The following is a 16,536-nucleotide window of genomic DNA, read 5'->3' as shown; positions in this document are numbered from 1 at the left end:
TGAATCCATGCCTCCGGGGCCCTGTTTTGGAGACAGCTGGCTGGGCCCTCTGAGTCTTCTGGCATCTTCTCTGGGAAGCCTGTTTCCCATCTCGCAGCAGCATTGCCTGGAGTGTGGTGAGCAGGTGACCCGCCATTCGAGGGGGCAGGTACAGAGGAGGAGAAAGGCCATTTCTTCCTTTCATGAGCTGGGCTTGGGTTGAAAGAGACAAGGTCAGGAAGTGGGGATAGGGAACAGTGTTCAGGCCACTGGAACAGCACAGTCAAAGGCTCAGAGCCCTAGCGGGTGCCACGTGTCAGCCACGTGTCTCCAGCATCCAGGGCCCCCAGCCCACCTTGAATGAACCAAAGCTGGAAAGCTGGGGGTGGGAGTGGCCAGGAGACCTTGTGGAAAGTGTTGGAAGGCACCGGAATTGGGTCAGGGCGTCCTCGGGGAAGGAGGGGAAGTGTGCAGAGACAGGGGTCCGGAAGCTTGCTAAGGGCAGGGACTTGCCTCTGTGGGTCTGACTTGGAGGGCTTCCTCTACCAGTGCCGAGGTGGTGTAGTGCGTTGTGAGTCGCGTTTTGGTAGTCATCCTGGGAGGTGCCCTGGGAAGCAGGAGGGCCCAGCGTAAGGGAGGAGCATGTTTCTCCCCAGGAGTGCTGGTGTCAGAGGGATGGAGAGGCACCCACCGACAGAGCCTGTGTGCAGCTAGCTCTGCCTTCACGCAAGCCAGCCGGGACCCTCCCTCCTCCCAGGTTGTCCGCAGATTAGGCTGCCTCTTGCCTATGCCGTGGGGCTCCCATGGGGACAGGACCAGACCACCTGGATTAGACCTGGGTCTTCCCCTCACTACCCTGATGAGCAGGGTGGTCCCTGAGCCGTTTCTCCACCTGTAGACCAGGGATACGTGACAGCTCGTTAGCAGGATGAAGCAGAGAGGAACGTCAAGGGCTTCGTGCTGCGCCAGGCACGGACTCAGCGGGCGCTGTTTGTTATGGGAGAAAGTGGAAGAGCCACCGGACGTTGTTTTAGCACATCGAGTGTTAGTGAGACTGAGAATGCTGGAAACCTTTACAGAATAGTGAAACGAGACACGCTGTTGTTGCAGCCCTTTCTGTCATTCCTGTGGACAAATGTAGCAGCCATGGCTCAAGCTGCTTGCTCTTGGTGGGGGGAGCTCCACTCCTGAGGGCACGCGGGCCGCCTGCCCTGCTGATCTGGCCTGCCCCTCTCTCTGCCAGTCGCCTGCCCCTGACCTGGGGGCAAGGCTGGCCCCCGAAGACCTTGATATGCACGAAGAAAACACCACCCCACTCCTCCAGATCACAGCAGGTAGAGCAGCTCCGCACCCCAGCTGGGCGAAGGGGGACACTCATGCGAGGCCATGCGCAAAGGCGGGTCAGGTTCATTACTCAGCCTGCTGGCCTGACGCCTTGGTCCTGGTGCGTGCGGAGCTGAGGAAATGGGCCCGAGCGAAGGAAGTTCAATTGTCCAGACAAAATCAACTCGTGACACTCCTCAATCAATCCCTGGCTGAGCTGTGCTTTCCCTGCCTGGAGCAGTGAATGAGCTGGAGTGGCCTCGGACATCTGCCTTGGGAGCCCCGCACTGCAGCCTCTCTTTAAGGGCTCAGTGCGGTCTGAGCATAGTGGCTCACACCTGTAATCCCAGCACTTTGGGAGGCCGAGGCAGGTGGATCACTTGAGGCCAGGAGTTTGAGACGAGCCTGGCCAACGTGGGGAAAGCCTGTCTCTACTAAAAATACAAAAATTAGCTCGTCATTGGTGGCACAGGCCTGTAGTCCCAGCTGCTCGGGAGGCTGAGGCGGGAGAATCGCTTGAACCTGGGAGGTGAAGGTTGCAGTGAGCCGAGATCACGCCACTGCACTCCAGCCTCGTTGATGCAGTGAGACTCTGTCTCACACACACACTCACAAAGGCCATAGCGCGGGGGCCCTGGTGATGGCCTGGGAAGCCTCTCAGTGTTCATGATGACTGTCAAGTTAGACCAGTTTGTTTTTTTTTTTTTGAGACGGAGTTTTGCTCTTGTTGCCCAGGCTGGAGTGCAATGGCATGATCTCGGCTCACTGCAACCTCCACCTCCCGAGTTCAATCGATTCTTCTGCCTCAGCCTCCTGAGTAGCTGGGATTACAGGCATGCGCCACCACGCCTGGCTAATTTTGTATTTTTAGTAGAGACGAGGTTTCACCATGTTGGTCAGGATAGTCTCAAACTCCTGACCTCAGGTGATCCACCCGCCTTGGCCTCCCAAAGGGCCAGGATTATAGGCGTCAGCCACCGCGCCCAACGACAGACCAGTTTTAAAGCAGATACGGGCCTCCCTGAGTCTCGGTCTCCTCATCTGTAAAATGGGTGATAAGGGACCACCCCCGCCCCCTGCTAGAGTGGTTATTGGATCTGACCAGCTAATGGGTCCCTGGTGGGGTGGTGTGTAGAGTTGTGCAGGTGACATTGATGTGTGCAGGAATAAGGGGTCGAGGCCAGACCCTACCTTTCACCTGCTTGCTTGTTTTCGGAAGAGATGCTTCTGGAAGCGAGGTTGCCACCTAAGCAGCAGTGGCTGTCCTTGGGGGCCCCTGACGTCTTGGAAGGCATCGTGGACTCTCTGCTGCTTGAGGAGAAAGCAGGGCCCTTTGAGAGGTGTCAGCAGTCAGAGGACACCTAAGAGTGCTTCCTAGACATTCATTCATTTGTTCATTCATTAATTCATTGGTTCATTTGTTCGTCTACCAGATACTGAGCCCGTGTGATGGGCTAGGCATTGTCCAGGGCATTTGGGACCCAGAGGGAGCAAACGGCGTCAGCTCCTGTCTCCGTGAGCACCTGGCCAGCCTGTCACCCAGGGTCACCTGTTTATCTACCTGATGGGCCCCAAATTTGATCCATTCCATCAAGCTGCATCTGTTGAATAGTAATCAAGCTATTTTAAGTGGTTTTTGGAATGAGCATGGCATAAATAAAACAGGAAATTAATTTGTTTTCCCATTTTTTTATTGATCAAAGACATCCTCAGCTGCCAGTCAGAGCTTCTGATCAGCACGACGCAGCATTGTGGCCCCAGGGAGTCAGCACCACTCCAGCTGGAAGCAGAGCAGCCAGGCGTGCAATCGGTCTCTGCTAAGCGCAGTGTTAGTGACACTTGTTGAAGTATTTCAAGAAAACGCACTATGTCTATCTATGTCTGTGGGTACTTCCTGGAGCCTTTGCCGCAGGGCGTGGAGGCTGCACATGGAGACCCCCAGCTTGCTCAGAAAGACCCAGAGGCTTGAAAAGAGAGTGCCTGTTCTCCTGAGGCCCAGAAGCTGTGGTGCCCTGTTGCTTTCAGGGCTGTGGTGCCCAGGTTCCCTTTTGCAGCAAGGAGCACATGGGGTGGGGGTCTTCACCTCCCAGTTGCTGGGCTGCTCTGGCCATGAGCAGAGAGCCTGAGGCCAGGCCCCAGAAGTCCCTTGTCGGCCTGTGTCCCTCCCCCAGTCCCTGGCAGCTGCCTTGAGGAGCTCTGCTGCGAACTAAAGGCCAGCGGGGTGGCGGGCTAACAGCTCCAGGGTGGGACCATGGTGATGAAGGGCCCAGGTTCTCGTGCACTGTGGCTGCTCCTCAGCTCCAGCTAACTGTGGCACCCCAACCCCCCTGCCAGCTCTCCCAGTGACCAATGTCTCAGGGGACTTCTGGACTTCCCCAGTGAGATGGCCTCAGTACAGTCTCTTTGAGTGAGAGTCCCAGCATCGTGGGAGTCAGAGGGCAGGGTTCTCCTTGCCCATTTTACAGATTGAGAAACTGAGGTACAGAGAAGCTGTGTGGCTGTTGAGTGGGAGCAGGCCTGGGTTGTCCCCACCTGGAGCACCTGCTGTGGGGTCTGCACTGGAATGTGGTTGTGTGCAAGAGGCCAGGGGGAGGTAGGACTGTGCAGGACAGGAGTCGGTGGTTCAGGGATGCCAGCCAGAGACCTGGGAGGAGCCCTGCCTGTTGGTGACGATCTACATGGATGGGGAAGGTTGGGCCAGGCGATCTGGAGACCCCAGCTTGGGGCTTTCCCTGCAGGACCCCACCCCCAGCTGAGTGCCACTCCTGGGACTGAGGACACCCGGGCCCCTGACCTTCCTGGTGGGGCAGCCAAAGGGACTTTCCCGGGCATGGGCCTGCCAGAGGCTGGGGGCATCCTGAGAGGAACCGGGCCTGGGTTCAGATCGCGGGTCACCTGCCTTCTGGGGCCTCCATTTCCACATCTGACGGAGCAAATGTGGATGTGAAAGTGCTAGTGGGCTGTGAAATGGCGCATGCGTGCTAGTTAGTTATTATGTGCCGATCAATCAGGTCAGCCCCCTCCTCTCTGGCCCCATTCCTAAGCCTTGGTTTCTGTGGGTGGGGCCTGCCCCTCAAGCCCAAAGGCCGGGCTCCTACACTCAGTGCCTCCCCATCTCCTCTGAACAGACTGAGTTTTTGTCAAAGTACTGTTGTCATTTTAAAAAAGAAAAAATAATGGGATTTCCCTGCCCAGAAACCCATAGACAGGATAGCTTAGAGGCCAGCAGTCTGGCCTTGGGGGTCAAACCATCCCAGATCCATTGTTAGCTCAGTTACATCCTTGCTAGTGACCTTGGGCAGGCCAGCTGACCTCCTGAAACCTCAGTTTCCTCATCTGTAAATTAGGAATTGCTGCAGTGACTCAAGGGAGCTCTTAGCCCAGTGCCTGGCCTTCTGGAAAACCTGGCGGCCGTGGAGCGCCTATAATCACTGTGAGTCAGCGCACCGAGACGCGTAGCCAGTCTTGGCCGGAAGGGCCTGGAGCTCTGTGCCAGAGCCTCACTGTGCACATGAGGAGACTTGCCCGAGCTCTCCTGGGAGGAGGGAGCAGCGAGGGTCACCTCCCATAAAGGTCAGCCCGGCCCCACGCTCCTCCTGCATGGTCCAGCTGGGGCCCAGGAGTCAGCCCCTGAGACAGTGTGGCACCTGCCTTGACGACGCAGGCCTTGTGCTGCCGTCCTTGGCGAGACAGGACTTTCTTGCATCCCCTTAGGCGGGGGCCTGCTGCCCTTTTGCATCCCGGCCACTCCATTTGCCCCTGAATCCTGGGCCTACCCATGAGCTCACTGCTTGGAGCTTGGTTGTCTGTCTGTGCAGTGGGCCAGTGCACACCTCACAGGCTCTGCAGGTGGTGAGTGAGTTGGCTGTTGTGCACGTCAGCATCCTCCCTGCCTGTGGTCATTGTCAGGCTCTGCTATTACTCCATCACCATTGCCCAGGGGTCGATGGCCAAGCCACCTGTGTTCAAACTGCAGCTCCCCAGCTGAGGCCTGCTGGCTATGTGACTCAGGCAAGTGGATTTGCCTCCCCCGGCTTAGTTTCCCCTTTTGTACCCCTCTCAGGTCATGCCGGCTAGATGCCAGCTCTGGAGGGCGAGGCAGGCCTGTCCTGTTTCCCACTCCAGCACTGCCGGTGACCCGTTGCCAGTAAGGGGCAGTGGAAGGGCCCACATAGGCTGAAGGGCGCCCCTGCTCTCGGTGGGCTGCCGTGGGTTCTGCAGGGCAGAGAGGCCTGTCCCTGCCATTGTGTCCCCATCACAATAGATTGTTTCAGAGACCCTAAAGAGACGTGACTGTCCTGTGAGCATGTGAGCTTGGCCGGTGAAGCTTGCCATCCAGGATGCCCTCGGGCCTCACCTGTGGCTCAGACCTGGGCTCCTGGCTCTGGGGTCTTGGCTCTCCGGCCCTGCGCCGCCTCTCCTGTCTGTGACACCCCGCCCTGGCGCCTTGCAAGAGCTGAAGGACAGTGCAGCTGAACCTGGGGAGGTGGGCGACTGGGCATGGAGCCTGTGTCACCACACTAATCCGATTTCAGCCTGATTAGATCTGCGGCTGCCGATGAATGGGCCGGAGAGAAAGGGGCTGACGTTTCCAGGGCACACTACACGCTGCCTCTCATTGCAGCGCCAGAGCCTGGACAAGGGATTCTTGGGGCCCAGGGGCGGGAGCCCTCCCTGCAGTCTGGGGCTGTGGGGAGCAGGAGGTGGGGTAGCCCATGCCCCCTCAGAGTGCCCTAAACAAACACAGTGGGGACCCCATAGCCGCCAGCCTGGGGGAGAGGGCACTCAGCCCTGGGACCCTTGTCACAGGGCTTGTTTTCTGGGGACAGACCCTTGCTGTGGCCACTCAGCTGGACTTAAAGTCCAGGATGCTGGGGGAAGCAGTGGCTGCCTTTGTGGGGGGTCCCGAAGGCCAGGTTGGATCAATGAGAGAGAAGAATGCCGCTTGCTCCTGCAGCCACAGGTGACAGCTGAAGCCAGCCTTCATAGCTTGGGCGTGGACAGGGGACTTTTCACCTGGCGCTGACCACCATCTGGGCCTCCCTTTGCCACTGTCCCTCGGCCTGTGTCCTCAGTGGGCCCCTGTGGCCATGATGCACCTGCAGCAACCTCAGCCTTGGGTCCGGTCCCTGCCAACCGTCAGGGTCTCTGTCTAGAACCTGGACCTTGAGGCTCTGATTGGCTCCAGAGCGACCACAGACCTTGCAAACCAGGCCACTGAGGAAAGGGGTACAGGGATGGCAGGAGGGACCTGGTGCCTGCCCACACGCCCGTCCTCTCAGAGGGCCTTTGCCCTGGCCGATGTCGACATGGCTTCATTCTTGGCGCTGCCGCCCTCTGGTCAGGTGCCCACGTCCTTAACTCTCTGTGCCTCAGTTTCCCTTTGTGGAAAATGGGATGAACTGTAGAAAGCACAGGAAATGCTCCCTGAAGGGAGGCCGGGCCGTGTGTGGCCTCCCTCGAGGTGGAGCCTGACGTGGCCCCCAGGCTTTGTCCCGGTCTCTGCCATCCCCGTCCGTGCAGTCCCTGTCCCTGCCATCTGCATCAGCCTGTGTGGCTCAGTTTTGCAGAGACCACCCTGGGTTGGGCCCAGAGCTGCACCAGGAGGACTTCTTAAAGGTTAGGGTGGCCAGAGTGGCCACGGGTGGGGCCGGGCCAGGCACAGCAGTTGCTGGGCCCATGGGAAAGGGGTGCGCTGGGCCCATCCTGTGCCCGAAAGGAAGCCTGGGCCTGGCCGGCTGTGATTATGGTTGGGATCTGTGTAATTAACTCTAAACTTGGGAGGCTGAGGAAGAATGAAAATAAATGCTTAGTGGAAATTACAGACAAGCCATATTCAAAAAATAGTCACGCCAGGCTGGAAGCTGCAGCACATGCAGCCGCGCAGATGAGCGAGAGGGCGTAGCCCCTGCCCCGGCTCAGGCCTGCTCCCAGCTCCAGTGTCTGGGGCTGTCCTAACCAAGCACCATCGACCGTGGTGGCTTTAAGCAGCAGAACCTTATTGTTCCCAGGGCTGCAGGCCAGCAGCCTGAATCAATTGTGTGTGGCAGCAACAGCTCCTTCGTGGGGCCACGGAGGAGAGCCCGTCCCACGCCCTCTCCCGCTTCTGGCAACGGTGGCCACCCTTGGAGTGGCTGGCCCACAGCTGTGTCACTCCCAGTTGCTAAGGAAAGGGGCCCATCTCACATGCACTCCTCGTGGGTCTGTGTCTCCATGTCTCTCTGTGTCTCTTCTAATTAATCTTTGTATTGTGGTAAAATACACATAACGTAAAACTCAGTGTCTTCTCCGGTTTTCCTCTAGAGCACCGTCCAGTAGGGTCAAGCACATTCACTTTGTTGGCAAGCACCATCACCACCATCCACAGAACTCTCTGGTCTTCCCAAGCAAGAGCTCTGTTCCCCACGAAACCACCCCATCGCTCAGCCCTTCGAGGGCGCCCACTATTCTCCTTTCTCTCTGTGGATCTGACGACTCCAGGGGCCTCATGAAAGTGGAATCACGGCCTGGCGTGGTGGCTCACGCCTGTAATCCCAGCACTTTGGGAGGCTGAGGCAGGCAGATCACCTGAGGTCAAGAGTTGGAGACCAGCCTGACCAACGTGGAGAAACCCCGTCTCTACTAAAAATACAAAAATTAGCTGGGCATGGTGGTGCGTGCCTGTAATCCCAGCTACTCGGGAGGCTCAGGCAGGAGAATTCGCTTGAACCTGGGAGGCAGAGGTTGTGGTGAGCCGAGATCACACCATTACACTCCAGCCTGGGAAACAAGGGCGAAATTCCGTCCCCCCCCCCCCCCAAAAAAAAGTGGACTCACACAGGATTTGTCCTTTCATGTCTGTATTCTTCAGAATTAACAGGTCGTGAAAAACAAAGATCATGGAGTGTTTTAGACTCACATTGTCTAAGCTAGCAGTTACTAGCCACATGTAGCTTTAAAATTTAACTTAAAATTAGCAATCTAGGTTTTCAGTAGCCACCTTTTTTTTTTCTTTTTTTTGAGACGGAGTCTCGCTCTGTCACCCAGGCTGGAGTGCAGTGGTGCGATCTCGGCTCACTGCAACCTCCGCTTCCTGAGTTCAAATGATTCTCTTGCCGCAGCCTCCCGAGTAGCTGGGACTACAGGTGTGCGCCACCACGCCCGGCTAATTTTTGTATTTTTAGTAGAGACAGGGTTTTACCATGTTGGCCAGGCTGGTCTTGAACTCCTGACCTCTAGTGATCTACCCGCCTCGGCCTCCTAAAGTGCTGGGATTACAGGCGTGAGCTGCTGCGCCCAGCCGGACTAGCCACATTTGAGTGTTTGGTGGGCACAGGTGTCTAGTGGCTGCCCTATTGGACGGTAGATGGATAGAACGTTCCTGTCATTCCAGAAAGTTCTGTTGGAGGACTGTACCAGATTAATGGAGACTGAAGAGGCATGGCAGCAGAAACTGTGTGTGATCCCATATTGGAACCTGGGCCAGTTTTTTTTTTTTTTTCTTTTAGCTATAAGGACATTTTGGTTGTCCTTTATATATTAGGGAAATGCAAGTAAGGTCTATAGATAAGATAACCGTGTGGTGTCCATGTTAATTTCCTGGTTTTGCTGTAGGTACTGTGATTATGGAAGAGGATGTCCTTGTTCTTAGGAATTACACACTCAGGTATTTAGGGATAAAGGAGTGTCATTACTGTAGTTAATCTCGAGTGTTCAGAAACACACACACACACACACACACACACACACACACACGCACGTGGACAGAGAGGGACTCTAGGATAAAACAGATGAGTCTGTTGTCTATGAACAGCAGCCGACCCCTGCCAGGATGGGAGGAGTGGCCTGAGGCAGAAGGGGCTGGGGTGAGCACTGCCTGCTGTGAGGCAGGGTGAGGGGTCAGCAGGGGCGTATGTCCTGGCTGGGGGACCCTCCGCTCCCAGGGCGTTCTCAGTGCTGCTTGGTTTACGCTCTTAGGCTCTGATTCTGACGTGCACTATGTCTAAGTCTGTCCATTTGTCTAAATTTCCAGTGAGCAGGGACAGGCTCTCTGAACTGCTCTTGGAGCTGGGCAGTTTGTCCATAGGGGACGGTTATTGATGAGGATGACAATCCTGGGCTCTTATTGGGCTGTGTGTGCCACACCCTCCCCTCGCGAATCCCCGTGCTGAGCTGGATTGGGGGGCTGATGGCTCCCACACCCCAGTGCCCACTCTGGTCATCAGGGCACATGATTAATCCCGTGAGGCAGGTGGCGGTAGAAAACCAGGCCTGGCATAACCACTCACCCTGGTCTCCCTGCTGGAGTCAGCAGACAGGATTCCAACCTGGGGCCCGAGTGATTCCAGAGCGTGCCCCCCGGGCCACCTCACCTGCTGCCTTATAAGTTTCCTTACCAAGCTGTTTCTCCACGAGGACTGGGCAGATGGCCGTTCCGCCCCAGCCAAGCCTTCCGCCCCTGTGGCACGTCAGGCGCAGTGAGGGCCGAGAGCTCACTGGTTGGCAGTGGGCAGAGAGGAGATGACCCATGCATTGATTTGGGAATTCTGGCTTTTGTGCTCCCTCCACCCTTCCACTGTAGTTGGCACCTGCCACTCTCTGGGTCCTCCGTGGCTTCTTGGGGGTGGCCCCTGGCTGTTGGCTTTGTCACCCGTGATTAGGAAGGATGTGTTGGTGTTGTCAGAAGCCTCGTGTATGTACGCACGCCTGTGCACGTGCCCACGTGAGCATGCGCCATCCATTCTTGTTGATTTAAGGCTTGCATATTCTGCCCCAGCTGTGACTGTCGGCCTCGACATGTGCTGGGTGCGCCTGGGAGAGCTGGGTTGGATGGTCATGGAGGGCCCAGGGTGCTGCCTTGCCGCCCTGACCTACGGTTACGGGGAGTGGCGTGTCTTCTGAATGCACAGGCCTTGGGGGTTTTGCAGCTATGTGATGAGAAGGCTGGGGGCGGTGGTGGCTACACCCTCGGATGTGGAGCTGGTCTGCCTGCTTCCACTTCCATCCAGGCCTGGCTTCTCACCCCCCAGCCTTGGGACGGGGGGTTTCGTCATCTCTCTGAGCCCATTTCCTCCTTGAGAAAACAGGAATGAGCTTGGATGTGCTGGCGCACGGAAGCCAGAGCTTGCTGCTGTTGCTGTTACGGTTTTTACAGAGCTTACAGTTTTAATAAGTTTTTCCTTGCCCTCCCTTTGTTTTTTCCCTTTAGTTTCTGTGTTTGAAGAACATACGCACCTTCCTGAAAGTCTGCCACGATAAATTTGGATTAAGGAACAGCGAGCTGTTTGACCCCTTTGACCTCTTCGATGTGCGAGACTTTGGAAAGGTGAGCAGTCACTCTCTCCAGCCTCGGTCGCTCAGCTGTGGTGGCCGATTTGCCGGCTCAGCGGCAGGTGGGCCAGATCCATGGAGCAGCCTGATTGGCTCCAACACAGAGCCAGTGGATTTCTGCACCCTCATGTCCGGGAGGTGCAGGCAGGTCCTGTTACAAACAGGAAGGTGTGAAAGCCAGATTTGTGTGTCGGGGCTGGGACAACGGGATGGCCCCTTTCTCTCTCCAGTCATGGTGAGGCCAGGCGTGACGAATTCAGGCGGGTGGGGGAAGAGCAGAGTGCAGACAACCCTGGCCCTGTGGTTCTAGCCAGGGGATGCTGAGCATTTACCTCCTGCCCTGAATCTTGATTCTTCCTCTGAGAATGGGTCGAAGTTAGTACCACCTCCTAAGGGGCTGGGGAGATGAGGAGGGGAAAGCGCCTACTGTGTGCTCTGTAAATGGATTATCTCGGTTACCCCGGGACAAGCAGAACTGTCTCTGACTCTGGGAAGGTATTGGGCAAAGAGGGGGTATTCTCCAGTGGTGACCCCGGGAAGTGTCTCTGTGTTCTCAGGAAGCCTCACATGGCACCAGTCCTGCATGCAGGAGCCGGGCTGGTGCACATGAGGGGACCCTGAGGCTGGCAGGTGCAAAGGCCCTGGGAGGCTGTAGTTCATTGGTGGCCTCCTGGTGAGCCTGGGTACAGAGGGACGCAGGGGCCACCTGCCTTCCAGAGCCCAGCAGCTCCACGGTTACTCTTTTTAAATGGATGGGATCAGGGTCTCAATAGCTTCCTGATGGATTCGGGGCTGGACGCCGGAGGTGCTGACGGTGGCCGAGGAGGCCCCAGGCCCCCGCCTGCTGTTGGGCTGCCTCTAGGAGACACTGCTTCCTGGACCACCGGGAGAATGGATTTCCACCTGCTGATGGGAAGTAACAAGATATTTACTGCCTGGTTTATTTGAGCATCATTATCAGGGACTTGGTATCTAAGGAAATGCTCTGTGAATACATGATTTGTGAGGCGCAGAGGGAATTTGGGTTTGCAGTGGCGCATGCTGAGAAGTCGGTTCTGAGAGGAGCGTGTGGAAGTGCTGCACGGCCTCAGGTCAGGACCTGGAACAAGGGCGATCCCGGAGCCACCAGGCTTGGCGCTTCCCTTCCTCGCTCCTGGAATTCTCCAGACGTGAGATCTGGGGACCTCTTCATGAGCCCATCTCTGTGTAATCATCGAATCCTTAGAAGTTTGTGTCCCTTAAATGACTCACTGAGCCCCCTCCCTGCAGCAGCGCACCTGCCTGGGAGTTTGATGCCCTGTTGAGGCCTGTGGGTCCTGCTGTCCAGGGGCTTGCCTGCTGGGCTGGAGTCAGGGAGGCTTGAATGGCCTGGGCCTGTTTCTTTCCTGTAAGTGGCTTCTCAATTCCTACAGATTTGTTTTGAAATGAGTTGGAACTCTCTCCTGTTCCTTCCCTGCAAGCAGCAGAGATGAATTTGCCTGCAGCACCCTGGGTAATGGAGAGGCTGATGGTTCTGGACTTAGTGAAGGTCCTTCAGAACACACACACACACACACACTCTCACACACACTCTCACACGCGCACACACACTCACACGCACACACTCTTGCACCCACCCCACACATGTTCACACTCACACTCAGACACACACAGCTCACATACACACACACACAGACATACAGTCTCACACACACACATTGACACAGACATCCATGGACACACCACACACAAACACACATACACACACTTGAACCCGTCTTCCATGTTCACACCCACACCCAGACATGCACAACTTAACACACACACATTCACAGACATACAGTCACCCATACACATTCACACAGACATCCATGGACAGCCCCCCAACACGGACATATCACACACATTCACACACACACAGTCTCACATGTACACACATACTTAGACACTCAACTGGTATTTATGATAACTGTAAAGAGAAAAATACAGGAAAACCCTGGCCAAACCTACTTCTTGGCCAACAGTTAAAATGCAGCGTATTCAGTATATAATTTCATTTTGCTTTTAATTTGCTATGGCGGAATGCAGTGATGTAAGACGTACATAAATTTGGATTAAACTCTCATTATTCAACTTACCAGCTGTGTGGCCAAGCAGTTTGCAAATGGGCAGCCCTTGTCATCGTCCATGGTTTCCAGTGAGGCGGCTGCGGCTCTGAGGGGCTGCAGAAGGGGCTTCTTGTCATGCTGGCCTCTGGTCTCCCCATGTCTCACCGTGGCGGTCAGTGGTGGTGCTGGCCAAGCTGTGGCATCTCTCATGGGGAGCTGGGAGTAGACGGCGGGTTTGGACCATGAGTCATGGTGTGGGGTGCTGGGAATGGAGGTGATGTCACCGTGCAGACCCCCGGGCTGAGCTGAGGAGACTGGATGAGGTCCACAGGAGGTGTTTGTGAAGTGCAGGTTGCTGCTCCTGCCGCCCCCCACCGGTCGCTTAAAACAAGTCCAGACTTCCACACACAGATGGCAGTGCCTACTGTTTTTCTCTCCACTATTTTATACATAAAGATGCAATGGCTGGGTCGGGCATGGTGGCTCACGCCTGTAACCTGAGCACTTTGGAAGGCTGAGGTGGGCGGATCATTTGAAGTTAGGAGTTCGAAACCAGTCTGGGCAACACGGTGAAACCCTGTCTCTAATAAAAATACAAAAAGCAGCTGGGTGTGCTGGTGGGCGTATGTAATCCCAGCTACTTGGGAGGCTGAGGCAGGAGAGTTGCTTGAGCCCAGGAGGTGAAGGTTGGAGTGAGCAGAGATCACGCCACTGCACTTTAGCCTGAGTGATAGAGTGAGACTCTGTCTTAAAAAAAAAAAAAAAAAAGACGCAATGGCTGCACCTTTGGGAGACAGAGCAGGTGGCTGAGCACATGGACTTGGACCCCGGCAGGCTGGCTTTGAGTCCCAGCCCTGCCATCCCAGGGTGCGGCCTCGCCCAAGTGACTCAGCTTCTCCAAGTCCCATTTGTAAAATGGCGGTGACACTCCCACCCTCAAAGTTCCCTTGAGCGGGTCAAGCCATGTGTGCAGGGTCTCAGCACCGCACGTGCCCCAGGGCCCCGCCACTCTGGGGCCTTGCTGCTTCTGGTCTCCGCATCTGAGCCATGCCCTTTGCCTCCTGGAGCCCGCGTGAATGTGGCCTGTGGTGTGTCAGGGACAGCTGGCTGGGGACCGGGCCCCCTGGGACCGTGTGCTGGGTGCTGGCACACTTGGGAGCAATGGAGCCGGAACCCGCACTTGCCCTTCAGCGTGGGCCTGGCCTCGGCCCCGCCAGCCCTGTCTCTGTGGCGGTGCTTGCTTCCTTCCCTGGATGTTTTTCCTACCGTGGTCAAGCTGTGGTCAGCACTTCCAAATGGAGTCTGGCCTGGGGCCAGCGGAGGCTGGGGAGCTGGGACGTTCACCACGGTCTGGAGCCTGACGGTTCTGCTCTGCCAGCGCCTCCTGGCTTCTCCGGGACAGGTGTTCTGGAAAAACAAAACACAAGCAAAAGCCCAGCTCCTCCCTGCGGCCTGGTCTGCCCAGGTGCTCAGACTCCTGGGGACCTCTTGCTGGGCCGGGGCGTATTTGTTGCAGTCCCTGCCGTGGACAGAGGGGAGGAAGGGTCAGAGCAGGGAGGGGACTTGCCGAGGCTGCTGGTCTCTGGCCTCCCGGACTCCCAGCTTGTTGACCACAAGGAGCCGGTGTGGAGGGCGGGGCTGATAGGCCTGGTTCCTTACTTGGCCATTCCATGCATCGGTCCCTCTGGCCACAGAGATGAAGAGCGAATGCCCCTTTCATTTTTTCGGGGCATTTACTGAGCGTTTCCTACACGTCCAGATTCATCTTTTGTCATTCATGAGCTCAGCCCAGTTGGGACGCCCTGGCCATTCCAAATGAGCTCGGCGGCCTCCAGCAACCTCAGACCATGAAGATATGGCTGCGTGCCCTCCCCCTGTTCCTCCCACCCTTGGCCTGCCCAGGACGGGGGTGGCAGCTGTTTCTCCCCAGAACACAAAGCTCTGCAGTCAGAACTGACTGTCGTCTGGGGTGGGTGGGGCTGGTCAGGGGTAACCGAGGGGGTGTGGGGCTGGGGACTCCAGGGCTACCAGGGGCAGAGCTGACTCTCTTACTCCTTGTCTGATCGGCTCCTACTTACATTCACAGCATTCAGGGCTGAAAGGAGCCTGACCGACTGGCCGGCGCATTAGTCAGGGCCCTCCAGAGACCAGAGAGACAGAAGCAGCCGGGTAGAGGCAGACAAGAGGGGCCGATTAGGAGCATCGGCTCTCGCGACTGTGGAGGTGGAGGGCCCCCAGCAGGCTTTCTGCGAGGTGGAGACCCAGGAACGGGGGTGACAGGGCTTGGCCCCAGTCCCAAAGCCTCAGAACCAGGGAAGCAATGGTGTGATCTTCAGTCTAAGGCCAAAGGCCTGAGAACCTGTGGGGCAAGTCTTGGAGACCAAAGGCTGGAGAGCCTGGAGTTCTGATGTCTGGGGGCAGGAGACCAAGAGTCCCAGCTCCAGGAGAGGGAGAGGGAATCACATTTTCTCTGGCTTTTTGTTCTGTCTGAGCTCCCAGCTGCTTGGATGGTGCCGCCCACAGGAAGGGCATCTCCTCACCTGCTCACAGGCCAGTCTCCTCTGGAAACACCCGCACAGCCACACCCAGAAACAATGCTTCCCCGGTTCTCCAGGTGTTCCTTCATCCAGTCAAGTTGACACCTAAAATTCACCATCACAGCTGGCTGGTGTCTCTGGCTGGTTTAGGAAATGCCGTTTCCCCTATTATTTAAGGAGGTCTGTGGTGTTTCAGATCTTGTCTGGGCTCTGGGTTTGTTGTCATTCATTTTCTAAACAGCTGCCTCCCGGCTCCCCAAGTCTCTCATGTTGTGGGAGTCATTCCTTGGGAAGACAAAAAGCATTCATTTATTCGTTCATTCACTCATCCATCCATTTATCCATCCATCCATCCATCTATCCATCATCCATCCATCCAGCCATTCATCCACTCACCATCCATCTATCCATCAATCATTCATCTGTCCATCCATCTACCCATCCACCCATCCGTCCATCCATCCATCCATCCATCTACCCACCCATTCACCCATCCTTCCATCCATTCATCCATCCATCCACCATCCATCCATCCATCCATCCATTCACCCATCATCCATCCATCCATCCACCCATCCATCCATCCATCATTCATCCATCCATCCATCCACCCATCCTTCCACCCATCCACCATCCATCCATCCATCCACTCATCCATTCATCCATCATTCATCCATCCACCATCCGTCCATCCATCCACCCATCCACCCATCCATTCATCCATCCACTCATCCATTCATCCACCATCCATCCATCCACCCACTCACCATCCATCCATCCATCCATCATTCATCTATCCATCCGTCCACCCATCCACCCATCCGTCCATTCATCCATCCATCCATCCACCCACTCATTTACTCGTCCTTCCACCCATCCATTTGTCCATCCATCCACCATCCATCCATCCATCCACCATCCATCCATCCATCCACTCATCCATTCGTCCATCATTCATCCATCCATTCACCATCCATCCATCCATCCATCCACTCATCCATTCATCCATCCACCCATCCATTCATCCATCCATCCACCATTCATCCACCCATTCATTAGTTCATTCATCCATCTATCATTCTGTTAAGCATATAATTTACCACGTATTTAGTAAGCACTTAGTATGCTGGAGTTAAAATGAGGAGACTCACGTAGTCTTTGCCCTCACAGGGACCCTCAGATTAGCTGCTGAGCAATTAATGGTAGGAGAGAGGAGTGAGAAAGTAAAAACTCTGGAGCTTTGGCCCCGAGGCCTGCTGGCTCTGGCCCACAATCAGCCTTGGACACTGGAGTCTTTCCTC

The 16,536-nt window shown here is 56.0% G+C and overlaps 1 protein-coding gene across 9 annotated transcripts in view, besides 5 other annotated features; it reads left to right on the top strand.

Moving 5' to 3' along the window:
- The window catches only part of VAV2 (vav guanine nucleotide exchange factor 2), a 230,431-nt gene that overhangs the window by 42,616 nt on the left and 171,279 nt on the right, over window positions 1–16,536 (top strand). For 8 of the 9 annotated variants that reach the window (NM_003371.4, NM_001411028.1, XM_017015109.2 and 5 more), the window contains exon 2: window positions 10,490–10,606. In NM_003371.4, coding sequence (NP_003362.2) covers window positions 10,490–10,606 — 117 coding nt within the window. Of the gene's footprint in view, window positions 1–10,489; window positions 10,847–16,536 lie in introns of all 9 variants that reach the window. The other variant, XM_047423845.1, reaches the window with a different exon arrangement.
- Window positions 299–808: an enhancer, noted in NCBI's record as "H3K4me1 hESC enhancer chr9:136814023-136814532 (GRCh37/hg19 assembly coordinates)". NCBI's record gives its function as "activates a minimal SCP1, AML or CMV promoter by ChIP-STARR-seq in naive H9 embryonic stem cells {active_cell/tissue: H9 hESC(naive)}" and the evidence as "EXISTENCE:reporter gene assay evidence [ECO:0000049][PMID:30033119]".
- Window positions 809–1,318: an enhancer, noted in NCBI's record as "H3K4me1 hESC enhancer chr9:136813513-136814022 (GRCh37/hg19 assembly coordinates)". NCBI's record gives its function as "activates a minimal SCP1, AML or CMV promoter by ChIP-STARR-seq in naive H9 embryonic stem cells {active_cell/tissue: H9 hESC(naive)}" and the evidence as "EXISTENCE:reporter gene assay evidence [ECO:0000049][PMID:30033119]".
- Window positions 3,660–3,769: an enhancer, noted in NCBI's record as "active region_29258". NCBI's record gives its function as "activates an Ori minimal core promoter by ATAC-STARR-seq in GM12878 lymphoblastoid cells {active_cell/tissue: GM12878}" and the evidence as "EXISTENCE:reporter gene assay evidence [ECO:0000049][PMID:35858748]".
- Window positions 4,430–4,479: an enhancer, noted in NCBI's record as "active region_29257". NCBI's record gives its function as "activates an Ori minimal core promoter by ATAC-STARR-seq in GM12878 lymphoblastoid cells {active_cell/tissue: GM12878}" and the evidence as "EXISTENCE:reporter gene assay evidence [ECO:0000049][PMID:35858748]".
- Window positions 4,519–5,372: an enhancer, noted in NCBI's record as "H3K27ac-H3K4me1 hESC enhancer chr9:136809459-136810312 (GRCh37/hg19 assembly coordinates)". NCBI's record gives its function as "activates a minimal SCP1, AML or CMV promoter by ChIP-STARR-seq in primed H9 embryonic stem cells {active_cell/tissue: H9 hESC(primed)}" and the evidence as "EXISTENCE:reporter gene assay evidence [ECO:0000049][PMID:30033119]".

The sequence above is a fragment of the Homo sapiens genome, chromosome 9, assembly GCF_000001405.40.
Source record: "Homo sapiens chromosome 9, GRCh38.p14 Primary Assembly".
NCBI lineage: Eukaryota > Metazoa > Chordata > Mammalia > Primates > Hominidae > Homo > Homo sapiens.
Note: the sequence above shows the minus strand (reverse complement) of the source record. Positions and strands in the feature narration are given on the sequence as shown.